Source organism: Homo sapiens, chromosome 1 (genome assembly GCF_000001405.40).
Source record: "Homo sapiens chromosome 1, GRCh38.p14 Primary Assembly".
NCBI lineage: Eukaryota > Metazoa > Chordata > Mammalia > Primates > Hominidae > Homo > Homo sapiens.
In genome coordinates, this window is record NC_000001.11 from 167,981,062 (window position 1) to 167,995,331 (window position 14,270).

The window sequence follows — 14,270 nt, forward strand, 5'->3', positions numbered from 1 at the left end:
ACGCCCGGCTAATTTTTTGTATTTTAGTAGAGATGGGGTTTCACCGTGTTGCCCAGTCTGGTCTCAGACTCCTGAGCTCAGGTAATCTGCCCGTCTCCGCCTCCAAAGTGCTGGGCTTACAGGCATGAGCCACCGCTCCCGGCCTCCCCCATGTTTTCTTCTAGGAGTTTTATACTTTCAGTTTGTAGGTTTAGATCTTTAATCCGTTTTGAATTAATTTTTGCATATGTAGGGTAAGGGTCTAAGTTCATTCTTTTGCATGTAGATAACCAGTTTTCCCAGCAGCTTTTTTCTTACTTTATGGATTCATTTTTTTCCTCAACTTTTATTTTAGATTCGAGGGGTACATGTGCAGGTTTGTTTCATAGGTAGTATTGCATGAGGCTGAGGTTTGGGGTACAAATGATCCTGTTACCCAGGAACTGAGCATAGTACCCAGTAGTTAGTGTTTCACCCCTTCCTTCCCTTTCTCCCTCCCTGCTCTACTAGTTCACAGTTTCTGTTGTTGCCATCTTTATGTCCACAAGTATCCAGTGTGTAGCTCCTACTTATAAGTGAGAACATGCTGTATTTGGTTTTCTGTTCCTGTGTTAATTTGCTTAGGATAATAGCCTCCAGCTGCATCTTAGTTGCTGCAAAGGACATGATTTCATTCATTTTTGTGGCTGCATAGTGTTCCATGTATATGTACCACATTTGCTTCATTCAGTCCACCATTGATGGGCACCTAGGTTGATTCTGTGTCTTTGTTATTGTGAATAGTGCTGCGATGAACATGTGAGTGCATGTGTCTTTTTGGTAGAACAATTTGTTTTCTTTTGGATATATACCCAGGATTGGGATTGCTGGGTTGAATGGTCATTCTAAGTTCTTTGAGAAATCTCCAAATTGTTTTCCATAGTGGCTGAACGAATTTACATTCCCACCAAGTGTATATAAGTATTCCTTTTTCTCTGCGGCCTCACCAGCAACTTTTGTTTCTTGACTTTTTAATAATAGCCATTCTCACTCATATGAGATGGTATCTCATTGTGGTTTTGATTTGCATTTCTCTGAGATTAGTGGATGTGGAGCATTTTATTTTGTGTTCGTTGGCTCCTTGTATGCCTTTGGCGAAGTGTCTGTTCATGTCCTTTGCTCATTTTTTAAGGGGGTTATTTGGTTTTTGCTTGTTTAATTTTTTAAGTTCTTTTTTTTTTGAGACGGAGTCTCGCTTCATCGCCAGGCTGGAGTGCAGTGGTGCGATCTCGGCTCACAGCAACCTCCTCTTCCTGCTTTCAAGCGATTCTCCTGCCTCAGCCTCCTGAGTAGCTGGGACTATAGGCGCATGCAACCACGCCCAGCTAATATTTTTTATTTCTAGTAGAGATGGGGTTTCACCGCGTCAACCAGGATGGTTTTGATCTCCTGACCTCATGATCTGCCTGCCTCAGCCTCCCAAAGTGCTGAGATTACAGGCATGACATTTTTTTAAGTTCTTTGTGGATTCTGGATATTAAACCTTCGTCAGGTGCATAGTTGGCAAATATTTTCTTTCATTCTTTAGGTTGTCTGTTTACTTTGTTGATAGTTTCTTTTGCTGTGCAGAGCTTTTTAGTTTAATTAGGTCCCACTTGTCAATTTTTGTTTTTGTTGCAGTGGCTATTGAGGACTTAGTCATAATTTCTTTCTCAAGTCCAATGTCTAGAATGGCGTTTCCTATATTTTCTTTTAGGATTCTTATAGTTCGAGGTCTTACATTTAAATCTGGAATCCATCTTGAGTTAATTTTTATATATGGTGAAATGTAGGGGGGTCCAGTTTCATTCTTCTACATATGGTTGGCCAGTGATCCCAGCACCATTTATTTAATAGGGAGTCCTTTCCCCATTGCTTATTTTTGTCAACTTTGTCGAAGATCAGATGACTGTAGGTGTGTGGCTTTATTTCTGGGTTCTCTATTCTGTTTCATTGGCCTGTGTGTCTTGTTTTCGTACCAGTACTATGCTGTTTTGGTTACTGTAGCCTTAAAGTATGGTTTGCAGTCAAGTAATGTGATACCTCTGGCTTTGTTCTTTTTGCTTAAGATTGCTTTGGCTGTTCAGGCTCTTTTTTGGTTCCATGTGAATTTTAGAATAGTTTTTTCTAATTCTGTGAAAAATGATGTTGGTAGTTTGATAGGAATAGCATTGAATCTGTAGGTTGTGTTGGGCTGAATGGTCATTTTAACGATATTGATTCTTCCAATCCGTGAGCATGAAATAAATGGAAAAACATTGTTGCTGTTTGTTGTTGTCATTGCTGTTTGTTTAGTGATTTTCCTAGACTAATTCTGTTAAATCTGCATTCTTTTTCAGGTGTAGGCACTGGAGTCTGTTCTTGGTTAGCTTAGTTGTCAGCTAAGGGTTAGATAGAGATTTCTTTAAATGCCTTGAACCAATAAGCCTTCCAGTCTTTGTCAAAGGGGCCTGTGTGTTTGGGTTGCCTTCAAGTGCCTTGGAAATTTACAACTCTGCCTTAGCTTTCACTTCTTGCTTGTTCAGAGCCTCAAGGTCAGCCAGAGATGTTAGAGTAGGGCCTTCTTGGGTCCTTCTTTGGCATGTGCACATTCTTATATATGTGCATAATTTCTAAATTCCCAGAAATGTTTTGTTGCTTTTCAAATTCTACTATTAATGTCTAATTCTTACTTTTACTTTTAACTTTTTCTGGTCAGCTTCTTGTTTCCCTCACCTAGTATTACTGCCTCAAGCAACTGTGATGTTAAATCATTGCTGTTGATTATTTTTGACAAGCACCCTTAGGATGGGGTTGAATATGGTCAGATTCATGTAAGTCCTTAAAAGGCAGCTTTTCCAGGGAACTTAAGGACAGATTAAATTGTGATAAGTCTTTGAGGATAGGGCATTTGGGGGAGTCTCAAACTTGTTTTGTGACTTACAGTGGCTGCGAAGTTACTGTTTTTTACAACTACCATAGTCGCAAGGCTGCTGTTGACTTAGGGAAAATACCACAAGTTAAAGTGGCTCAAGGCTCACTATTCTTTCTGAGATCCAGTTATTTGTCTTGAATAAATGTTTCTTGGATTGTTCTAATCCCTTGGTTAAATTTCACAGTTCTAAAAAAGTTGATTTTGAAATTTTGTAGTGTTGTCAGTGCTTTTATGGAGAAGTATATTTTCAGAGGTCTTATTCAGCCATTGCAGAAGTGCTTCTTCTGTAACATTCTTACACTTTTCCCCTCCTTCTTGAGGAAGGTTAAATTGTGAGGAAAGGTTCCTAAATGATTCAGATTTCTGAACATATCTTATAAAGGCATTAATTATAAGAAATAGATACATGTTTTAATAATTTAATTTTATAATAGTGTGAGTACAGCTCATAGTTCATTAATTTGATTATCAAATTCAGTATTCTAGTTTTTAAAAATAAATATCCTTGGAAATATATGCTTCCAATGATTTCATTTATAGACAGTAGTATACAAAGCAGAAGTGATCATTTTACTTAATAAAGTCATCAAAGCTAAGTCAATAAATTACATAAATATTTCTTACTGATAAAATAGTTTCATAAGTAAACTGCTGACTTGATTAGATGGAATACTAATTACATTTTCACAAATATGAAATGAGTAAAAATTCTCATTTTCCTTGAAATGTATACTTATTTAGGTTGAATATACTTTTTATATATTTTTTGCAGGGTATAAATCTTATTATTCTGTGTTCATTGCAAAATTGGTTCAATTGAAGCAAAGGACATTAATAGATTGAAGTTTGGTAAATTAAAAATTATGTATAGTTCATTTTCATGCTGCTAATAAAGGTATACCCGAGACTGGGCAGTTTACAAAAGAAAGAGGTTTATTGGACTTACAGTTCTGTGTACCTGGGAGGCCTCACAATCATGGTGGAAGGTGAAAGGTGAAAGGCATGTCTCACATGACAGCAGACAAGAGAAGAGAGCTTGTGTGGAAAAACTCCCATTTTAAAAACCATCATATCTCATGAGACTTATGCACCATCACAAGAACAGCATGGGAAAGACCTGCCCACATGATTCAGTTACCTCCCACTGGGTCCCTCCCACAACACGTGGCAATTCAAGATAAGATTTAGGTGAGATCATAGCCAAACCACGTCGTGTGTGTGTGTGTGTGTGTGTGTGTGGTGTGTGTGTGTGTGGTGTGTGTGTGCGTGCGCGTGTGCACGTGGCTTAAAGTAACAAATTTATTATCTTACTGTTCTGGAAGTCAGAAGTCTGAAATAAGGTGTACTGGGCTAAAATCGAAGTGTTGGCAAGTGTGTATTCCTTCTGGTCTTGCCTTTTCCAGCTTCTAGAGGCTACTTGCATTCCTTGGAGCAAGTCCCCTTCCTCTATCTTCAAACCCAGCAACATAGCATCTTGAGATCTCTTTCTTTTTCTCTCTTTTTCCATCATCTTGTCTCCTTCTCTGACTCTGACTCTCCTGCCTTGTTTTGCTCAGTAAGACCCTTGTAATTATATTGGGCCTCTGTGGATAATTTAGGATAATCTCCTTATGGTCAAAATCCTTAATTAATCACATCTACAAAATCCTTTTTGCAGTATAAGGTAAAGTATTCGTAGGTTCTAACAAATAGGATGTAGATATCTTTGGGCTACTATTATTCTGCTTACCACAATAATAGTAAACCTTTTAAGACAAAAGTTTTCCAAGTAAATTTTTAAAAAGTATAAAACACCTACTGAAAAGTGCTGGCATCGTGTATTTGTGCAACTTGATTAATTTTCACAAAGTAAAATATATATGTACTCAGCATCTAGAACAAGAAACAGCCCCCCATAAGTCCTTTGTACCCCCTCAAAGGGTTTACTGCTTTCTAGGCTCTTAAAAGTACAGGTTAGTTTGGGCCTTTTTACGATTTTATAAAAATGGGAATCATACTGTGCCTTCTCTTTTGTGTCTGGCTTTTTTCACACAGAAGGTTTGTGAGATTCATTTATGTTGCTGAGAATAGTAATGATTTGTTCATTATTACTGATGATTTAGTACTTTATTTTAGGAATAGATAACAATTTAATCCCAGTTTATTGTTGGATATTTGGGTTGTTTCAAGTGTTTGGCTAATATAAATAGTGCTGCTGTGAACATTCTAGTGCATGTTTTTACATGCCCCATGCAGGCGTTTATTTTTAGTGGAACTGCTGGGTTATAGGAGAAGCATATGATCAGCTTTAATAGATATTGATACATAGTTTTCCATTGCAATTGTACCATTTTATACTCCCATCAGCAATGTGTTCCGTAACTCCACATCCTCATCAACACTTGATATTATAAGTCTTTTCATTTTGGCCATTCGGGTATGGTATAGCTGTATATCTTTGTGGTGGTAATTTATATTTCCTCGATGGCTGAGTTTGAATACCTTTCATATATACAGTGTTTCAAACATAGGAATATTGTATACAGAAAACCATGTATAGCAGAGGCACCAGGAACTGGTTTCACAGGAGACAATTTTTCCATGGAGTGGGGATGGTTTTGGGTTTAAAACTGTTATACCTCAGATCACCAGGCATTAGCTTCTCATAAGGAGTGCACAACCTGTGAGAAACAGTTCACCATAGTGTCTATGCTCCTGTGAGAATCTAATGCCATTGCTGATCCTACAGGAGGTGGAGCTCAGGTGGTAATGCTCGCTCACCTGCTGCTCACTACCTGCTTTGCTGCTCACTTCCTAACAGGCTACGGACCAGTACTGGGTCTTTGGGACATAGGGAGAGAAGAACTTATTGAGGCAGGGTTTATAGAGAGCCTCAACTTACAATATTGTCATTGCTAAATTAGAAGTGGATACAGGCATATCTAAAATATTGTACTTCATTAAAAAAGGTTTTTATGGTAGTAAAATACATATAAAGTTTGACATTTAAACTATTGTTTTGAGAGTACATTTCGTTGACATTAAGTATATTCATGTTGTATAACCATTACCACAATTAAAATTTTTCTAAGAGGTGAGTTATGCACTTAAATCATTTCAGCATCCCACAGTTGTCTTAAACGTTACCAGAGAAGAAAATTTGCTTACGTATTTATTGTACAATTATAAACTCACATAGATAAAACATAAAAATTAAGCTTTGAATAGTTTGAACAAGCTACCTAGGGGAGAATCATTCTTCCCTAGTTGTTAGAAGTTTATAACTTCAGATAACTTTTTATCTGAAGTTAAGTTAATGCTAATCTTCAAAGTACTGAATCATATTAATTCAACAATTACTTCTTATCTATTTCTATCTGTATTGTACCATTCTGAATCATAGTATGGGTAAGCCATGAGTAACTAAAATGCATGGTTTTTGTAACCTTTACCTTAATCATTTTATGAAATAGTAGGAATGTTTTTCAGAGCCGTCTGTTTAAATGTTCGTATGATTATCTGCACTTTTCTTTTCATCTTCAGATTATGACTGTACCCAATGACCCTTACACTTTTCTCTCTTGTGGTGAAGATGGAACTGTTAGGTGGTTTGATACACGCATCAAAACTAGCTGCACAAAAGAAGATTGTAAAGATGTAAGAATTAAATTTTTATACAAATGATGCAGAAAAAATTAAGGTTATAATTAAAATTGGTTATAATTAAAGTTATAATTAAGGTTATAATTAAAAGTAAGTTATGTGGATGGTAAGATTATGGGTGAATTTTTAAATTTTTGTTTTGCTAAAATATTTAATAAGCATATAGTTTATAATCAGAAATTGAAAAATGTAAAATGTTAATATTGAAGTTGGAGAACTTATATTTTAATTGTACATTTAAAATATATTTATGAAAATTCAAATAATTTGTTCAGTATATACTGTCTAATATAAAAACCTGAAGAATTTATATAAATGTATCTCATTTACTCATGGAAACAGCTTTGACTTATCAAATAGCAGTTATAAAAGCTTGTGGTAGTTGTCTTTTTTTCTCCTGTCTTTTAAACCAATAATTACATGTTATCTTTTTTAAAAAGAAATAATAAGATAGCATGCTATCAACATGTTTGTTCAAATTTAGCCCACTTTCCTAAAGATAATATCTCTACTATCAGTTTCTTATGCTTTAATACAATTAAATTAATTAATTAATTTTTTTTGAGACAAGGTCTCACTGTGTCATCTCAGGCCGGAGTGCAGTGGTGCAATCCTAGCTCACTGCAGCCTCAATCTTCTGGGCTCGAGTAATCTTCCTGCCTTAGCCTCCCGAGTAGCTGGGACTACGGGTGTGTGCCACTATGCTCAACTAATTTTTTTTTTATTTGTAGTAGATAGGAGGTCTTGCCATATTGCCTAGGCTGGTGGTGTCAAACTCCTAGGCTCAAGTGATCCTCCCGACTTGGTGTCCCAAAGTGCTGAGATTACAGGGATGAGCCACTGTGTTTGACTTTTAATACTATTTTAAACTTACAAAAGGCCTGAGAAATCATTCAGTCTTTTGACCCCAGACAAGTAATTCCAAGTGATTTTTCCTGACATACATTATTAAGAGCACAGTAGTTTTTCCTTGGATCATTTTGAAGTAGTAAATGAAATAAGAAAGTACTATTCAAAATATGTTTTTACTGAAAGTTACAAAAAAAAAAGGTACTACTGTTAATCAGGTTAAGTGCTTGCTAACTAAACCAGTTACCAACTGGTTAACATGCTTTAGGGGAAAAAGATTATTTTATATATTTGAAACAGAAATAAAACAAAAAGTAGAAATTGAAAAACCTTTAGGCTGGGTGCGGTGGCTCATGCCTCTAATCCCAGCACTTTGGGAGGCCGAGGCAGGTGGATCACAAGGTCAGGAGTTGGAGACCAGCCTGGTCAACATAGTGAAACCCTGTCTCTACAAAAAATACAAAAAATTAGCCGGGCGTGGTGGCAGGTGCCTGTAATCCCAGCTACTCGGGAGGCTGAGGAAGGAGAATTGCTTGATCCTGGGAGGCGGAGGTTGCAGTGAGCCGAGATCACACCACTGCACTCCAGCTCGGGTGACACTGCGAGACTCCATCTCAAACAAAACAAAACAAAACAAAAAAACCTTTAAACATACAGTTTAATCAGTTTTTTTGTTACGTATTTGTATATACACAGATATGCAAATAGGGAAGCATTGAACTAAACTCAGAAATAAGCTTAAATATCACGTTATTAGGGTTGTTTGATATACCTGTTCCTTAGAGTAAGTGGTGGGTACTAAATTTTGTTATTGCAAACTCTCTTAAACTATTTTAGTGTTTCAGTGTAGTAAGATTTAGTTGTGTTTTTCTAAACAAAACCCCCAGGAAAATAAGAAAACAAATCTGATAAGACGTGAAAGTAGTCTTTCCTTAGTAAAACTTTTCCTTTATGTATAAAAGTGAAATGAAGCAGAGAGTATAAAGAAAAACTGGTAACTAGAGTAATCCTTAACTACTAAAAACTTAGAATTATGAAAGGCATTTGGTTAATGAATTCTATGTAATGAGAGTAATGTTCTGAGATTAGTAATTGAACAAAGTATAAGGTTAAATTGACTTAAAAACATTACTGAGGGGCCGGGCGCGGTGGCTCACGCCTGTAATCCCAGCACTTTGGGAGGCTGAGGCGGGCAGATCACCTGAGGTTAGGAGTTCGAGACCAGCCTGACCAATGTGGAGAAACCCCATCTCTACTAAAAATACAAAATAGCCAGGCGTGGTGGCACATGCCTGTAATCCCAGCTACTCTGGAGGCTGAGGCTGGAGAATCTCTTGAACCCAGGAGGTGGAGGTTGCACTGCACTCCAACCTGGCGACAGAGCAAAATTCTATCTCAAAAAAAAAAAAAAATTACTGAGAAGAATGAGGAGTGAGAGTCATTAGACAAAGCAGTATGGAATCAACAGAGTACCTTCAGGATATGTTTGGGGTACTAGCTCTTACATTTTCTAATTCTTCTACAGAGATAAGTAATAACATTATAGTAAGACCTGTCTTTTGCAGGGTTTGTATTTATATGTGTACTTTATTTTTGAGCTGGTTAAGGAGAAAGGTTTTATAAGTAAAAAGTATAAAATATAGAAGTCAGTTAATTTTTTGTTATATTTTAATAGCAGTGATTACAATTAAAATATTATGAATAAGCCTAGGCAACATAGTGAGACCCTATTTGTACAAAATTTTTTTTAAAAAATTAGCCTGGTATGGTGGTGTGCACCTGTAGTCCTAGCCACTTGAGAGGCTGAGACAGGAGGATCACCTGACCTCAAGAGTTTGAGGTTACAATGAGCTGTGATCACACCACTGTAAGCCTGGGCAACAGAGCAAGACATATCTCAAAAAGAAAAAAAAATATGAATACTATATAAATAATCAATAGTTATAGACAGTATGAGAGATTTGTCATAGGTAGATTATAACTCCATCTTTGCTGTCAAGTGGACCAATAATAGCAGGCATTTCTAATGGTACTAATGACTTAGTGATACATTATATAGGTAATTTTGAATTTTTTACATTTCTAAAGATGTTCATTATTCATGAGTATGGGAATATTTAACAGGCATTTTTGAGAAATAATTCAAATTGTATTATAACATTGTATGAAATGTAGCTAGTTTAGAAAGAGTTTTAATTGTCACATAAATATGAGTTTCTTGGATTATTACCATCTTTTTGTAGCTGGCGCTGTTCTAGTATAATTACTCAGTATTTTCAGTCTTATATTTGAAAGTAATTTTTATTTTTTCCTTTTTAGAATGTATTTAATTGCTCAAATACTGATCATTTTAAAAATCTGTATTTTAATTAAGTTTAGTATTTTCATATTTTTTCTTACTTTAATTGGTTTATAAGGAAAGTCTACAATATTGTGGTAGAAATCAATCAATTTTGGAGTTGTATGGCCAACTATAAAGAAAAGAGTATCTTCCTTAGAAATATTGATTGAGTATATTTATTTTGATTTCACATAGGCTGAATGTATTAGAAATATTTCTAGTAGAAATCCGAAAAAAAAGTTAAAAGAAAGCCGTATTGTTTTTCCGCTCATTGTCATTCTTGACTGAATTAGGAGTTCTGAGAATGGTTATTCTAATTACTAATGAGAAAATATTTTAAATATAATTTCACCTCTGCTGTATAACTATATGTAATTGGTATTATGTTATGTTTTGTAGGATATTTTAATTAACTGTCGACGTGCTGCCACGTCTGTTGCTATTTGCCCACCAATACCATATTACCTTGCTGTTGGTTGTTCTGACAGCTCAGTACGAATATATGATCGGCGAATGCTGGGCACAAGAGCTACAGGTAAGAAGATAATATTAGAGAAAATATAGGACTGTCAGTTCAAAGAGTAAATCTCTATGACATTTTCAGTTTTAAAATTTCTTGTTTGTTATAAAATTTCAGAAAATAGTATTTGTTTAATATGGATTATTATAAAAAATAACATTTCACCAAGTGTTTATGACCCTTTGGGATGATACTTTTGCAGTTTAAAAAGTTGTAACATTTGATGTATTAGTTTGGCAGGACTGCCATAACAAATGACCACAAACTGGGTATCTTAAAGCAACAGAAATTTATTCTCTTAAATTTCTGGAGGCTCAGTGTCTGAAATCAGGATGTCTTATGATTGGTTTCTACTGGAAGCTCTGTTCGATGCCTTCTCCCCTAGCTCATGGTGGTTGCTGCCAATCCTTGGCATCCCCTTGGTATAGATGAATCACTCTTAATCTCTGCCACTCTCTTTACATGCAATTTTCCCTGTGTGTGTCTGCGTTTACATTTTCCTCTTAGGGCACTAGTCATACTGGATTTGGGCCCACCCCTAATCCAGTTAGGGTGAGGTGGGCCCTGGATTAGGTGGGCCCTAATCCAGTATGACCTCACTGTAACTAACTACATCTGTAAAGGTCACATTCTGAGGTTCTGTGTAGACATGAATTTTGGGGAGACTCTGCTATTTTTCAATCAAGAAAACAATGGTAAATGTGGTAGTAAGAAAATTTAAAACAGTGACTTGGGTATGTATTAATGTGTAGCATATATTTATTCCTGCTTACCTTAAAGTGCTGTTAATAATGCTGAGTACTGAATTTGAATCTAATATAAACTAATGCTCTTTCCCTTCACTCACTATAGGATCAAAGTACTTCCAAAATAAACAATTAGAAGTCAACTTCCATTCACATTTTTTCAGTAAAGGAAGGCCAGGATTACACACACACACACACACACACACACACACAAACACCGAATGCACATTCATATATTCACATATTTTATATTGTTAAAAATAAAGGTGGACTTGGGCAGAAACCAACAATGTCAGTAAAGATGGACATAGATTATTGAGATGGGAATACCAGATGAGATCTTTCTTTTCGGAACTGTGATAGCTTTTATTTATATTGCTACATTAAGTCACATATCTAATAATAATTGAGGAGTCCAGTCTATTTGGATATGTACATTTAGGGGAAACAGTAATATAATATGAAATAATAGGCTTAATTATTGTTTCTCAACAGGTGGACACAATTGACATTTTGAGCATGATAAGACTTCATTTTGCAAGGTTATACAGCTTTGTGGGATTCTTAGAATTTAGCATTCCTGGGCCCCCAGGGCACAAAGTGCCAGTTGTACACCTATCTGTCATATTGCATTGAAGACTACCAGAGTTAATTAAAATTGGAATAGTATTCTTAACTCTGTACTATATAACAGGCAAATTTCATGGCAATCAGAAATTTTTTTAAAAAGTAAAAGTTGTATCATCTTAAGGATATTGCATACGTTGCATACTAATGTATGTAGTATGCTAATAAGTATTAGCTTTTTGTAAAAATTTGTTATCTTAATTTGGGGGGAACTTTTGGAAGATGACTTCGTGTGATTGTATTTATAAATCATTTTCCTTGATTAACTCATTTCAACAAAGCATACGTAATCTGGAATTCTAGACAATCATGAATTTTTTTGGTAGAGGTGTTACCTTTATACCATATTCTTTTTTGTTTTGTTACAAAATCTGACTGCAGAGGAAGAACCTCTACTGGAAATAAACGTGATGGCTTTTATTTGTATTGCTACATTAAGTCACATGTAATAATTCAGATTAAGAGTTTTAAAAAATGTTTTTCTTTAAAACATTATTAATTTTAAATAACTTCTTGTTTCTTTTTTAGGGAATTATGCAGGTCGAGGGACTACTGGAATGGTTGCCCGTTTTATTCCTTCCCATCTTAATAATAAGTCCTGCAGAGTGACATCTCTGTGTTACAGTGAAGATGGTCAAGAGATTCTCGTTAGTTACTCTTCAGATTACATATATCTTTTTGACCCGAAAGATGATACAGCACGAGAACTTAAAACTCCTTCTGCGGAAGAGAGAAGAGAAGAGGTAGGTTTACTCAAAACCATGTCCTTTGGCCGGGCGCGGTGGCTCACGCCTGTAATCCCAGCGCTTTGGGAGGCCGAGGTGGGTGGATCACCTGCGGTTGGGAGTTTGCAACCAGCCTGACCAACATGGAGAAACCCCGTCTTTACTAAAAACACAAAATTAGCTGAGCGTGGTGGCACATGCCTGTAATCCCAGCTACTCAGGAGACTGAGGCAGCAGAATCGCTTGAACCCGGGAGGCGGAGGTTGTGGTGAGCCGAAATCACGCCATCGCACTCCAGCCTGGGCAACAAAAGTGAAACTCCGTCTCAGAAAAAACAACAACAACAACAACAACAACAAAAACCCCATGTCCTTTATTCAATTCAGAAAACAATTCAGTGACTCTTGGGGCCTAAAGGCCAAAAAAAAAAATTAATTTTCAAGGCACTTACAGTTCAGAAAACAAAAAACATGAGACATACTTGAAAGAATAGAAGCTAATAAATTACTATCAGTTATTACTAATTATAATTAGCAATTAGTTACTAATTACTAATAGTTACTAATTACTAATTATAGTTAGTAATTAGTTACTAATAATTTGTAATTATAATTAGTAATGACAAAAATAGTATTTTTGTAATTTGTGTTATAATTAATAGTAAATAATTACTAGCGTCTATTCTTAATAATGTATTAGTAATAATAAATCACTAATTTATTATTGGTATTCTAAATACTATTTCTAAAACCTTATCCCTAACAGTGAATTATTAGGGATAAGGCTTTAGAAAAAAATATTTTAAATTATTTTTAAGGAGAATATACTTGATAGCAAAATGTTTATCTTAACTTTGTAGATGTACAGCAGCAGCAAGAAAGATCAACAGTGCTAACACTTGCAGAAAAGGCGATTAAAATAATAGAAAATATGATGATAAATTTCCAAGAGACTAAATGTGTATGTCCATGGATCAATAGAAGTTTTACGTATTACCATTTACTCTTCATATATGGACAGCAATCCCTTTCTGTCCCAATTGTGCCTCTTTCACAGTTACATACTAGTGATTTATAACAGTAACCTTAGGTATATTTTACAAAATAAATATAAGTGGGAAAAAGATAAGTTAAAGTAGTTGTATATATTGAAAAGTAGGTGAATGAATTACTTTCACAAGACTACTAGAAGATAATGAATTTATTATTTATAAAAGGGGAAAAGTAGAAATAAGGTATCTTTGACAGTACACAGCTGTAGAAAAATGTTTGCTTTAACCTGTTTAAGCTTCTTTCCTCAACATGTTTTTCACTTTGGCTTTTTTATTTTATAATGTCCTGTGTTATTCACTTTGAACTTTGGCTTGTAAAAGTCTTTTGAAATTAACCATTGATTTTTATTTTCAGTGACCTTTTGGTATTGGCTCAATGCCTATTAATACGTTTTAAAGGTTACTAATAACAGTGATTTTGGAATTCCTACGAGATACAAAACTATATTCATTCCTCATAATTTCAGGTGTAGAGGGCTGTAAAATTAGAAATCAGGATTACTTTATAAATATACTTTGAGATTTTTATCCTTGCAGTGTATTTATTTGAATTAGGAAATTGATGAAGAAGGGTATGATGGCTAATAAAATGATTTTTGAGTTTATTCTGGTTAAAAACATGAAATCTGCTCTGTCATTTTGTTACTGCTATGCAAATTTCCCCTTGAAATACATGGGTAAGTAAAGTTATAGTCAAACTGTGATTGTTACATAATGAAAGAGTTGGAAGTCCATAGACATTTTAAGTGGGCCAACTAGTTTTGATACCATGGAATACTTAGCCAAAAGATATTTATATAATCAGAGTGAATGAGGCTGAGTCATGAACATTTTTTTTTCTGGGAGACTTTTCCTTGG

At 35.2% G+C, this 14,270-nt stretch overlaps 1 protein-coding gene across 25 annotated transcripts in view, besides 1 other annotated feature; it reads left to right on the forward strand.

The window, feature by feature from the left end:
- The window catches only part of DCAF6 (DDB1 and CUL4 associated factor 6), a 212,261-nt gene that overhangs the window by 117,486 nt on the left and 80,505 nt on the right, over positions 1-14,270 (forward strand). For all 25 annotated transcript variants that reach the window (NR_146229.2, NR_146230.2, NR_146228.2 and 22 more), the window contains 3 exons: positions 6,434-6,547; positions 10,143-10,278; positions 12,165-12,379. Coding sequence is in view for 22 of the 25 variants with exons in the window: in NM_001198956.2 (NP_001185885.1) it covers positions 6,434-6,547; positions 10,143-10,278; positions 12,165-12,379 (465 nt within the window). In the remaining 3 variants the exon portion in view is untranslated. The remainder of the gene's footprint in view (positions 1-6,433; positions 6,548-10,142; positions 10,279-12,164; positions 12,380-14,270) is intronic.
- Positions 5,831-7,030: an enhancer, noted in NCBI's record as "CDK7 strongly-dependent group 2 enhancer chr1:167956130-167957329 (GRCh37/hg19 assembly coordinates)". NCBI's record gives its function as "activates an origin of replication core promoter dependent on BRD2, BRD4, P300/CBP, MED14 and CDK7 cofactors, with strong dependence on CDK7, by STARR-seq in HCT116 cells {active_cell/tissue: HCT116}" and the evidence as "EXISTENCE:reporter gene assay evidence [ECO:0000049][PMID:35650434]".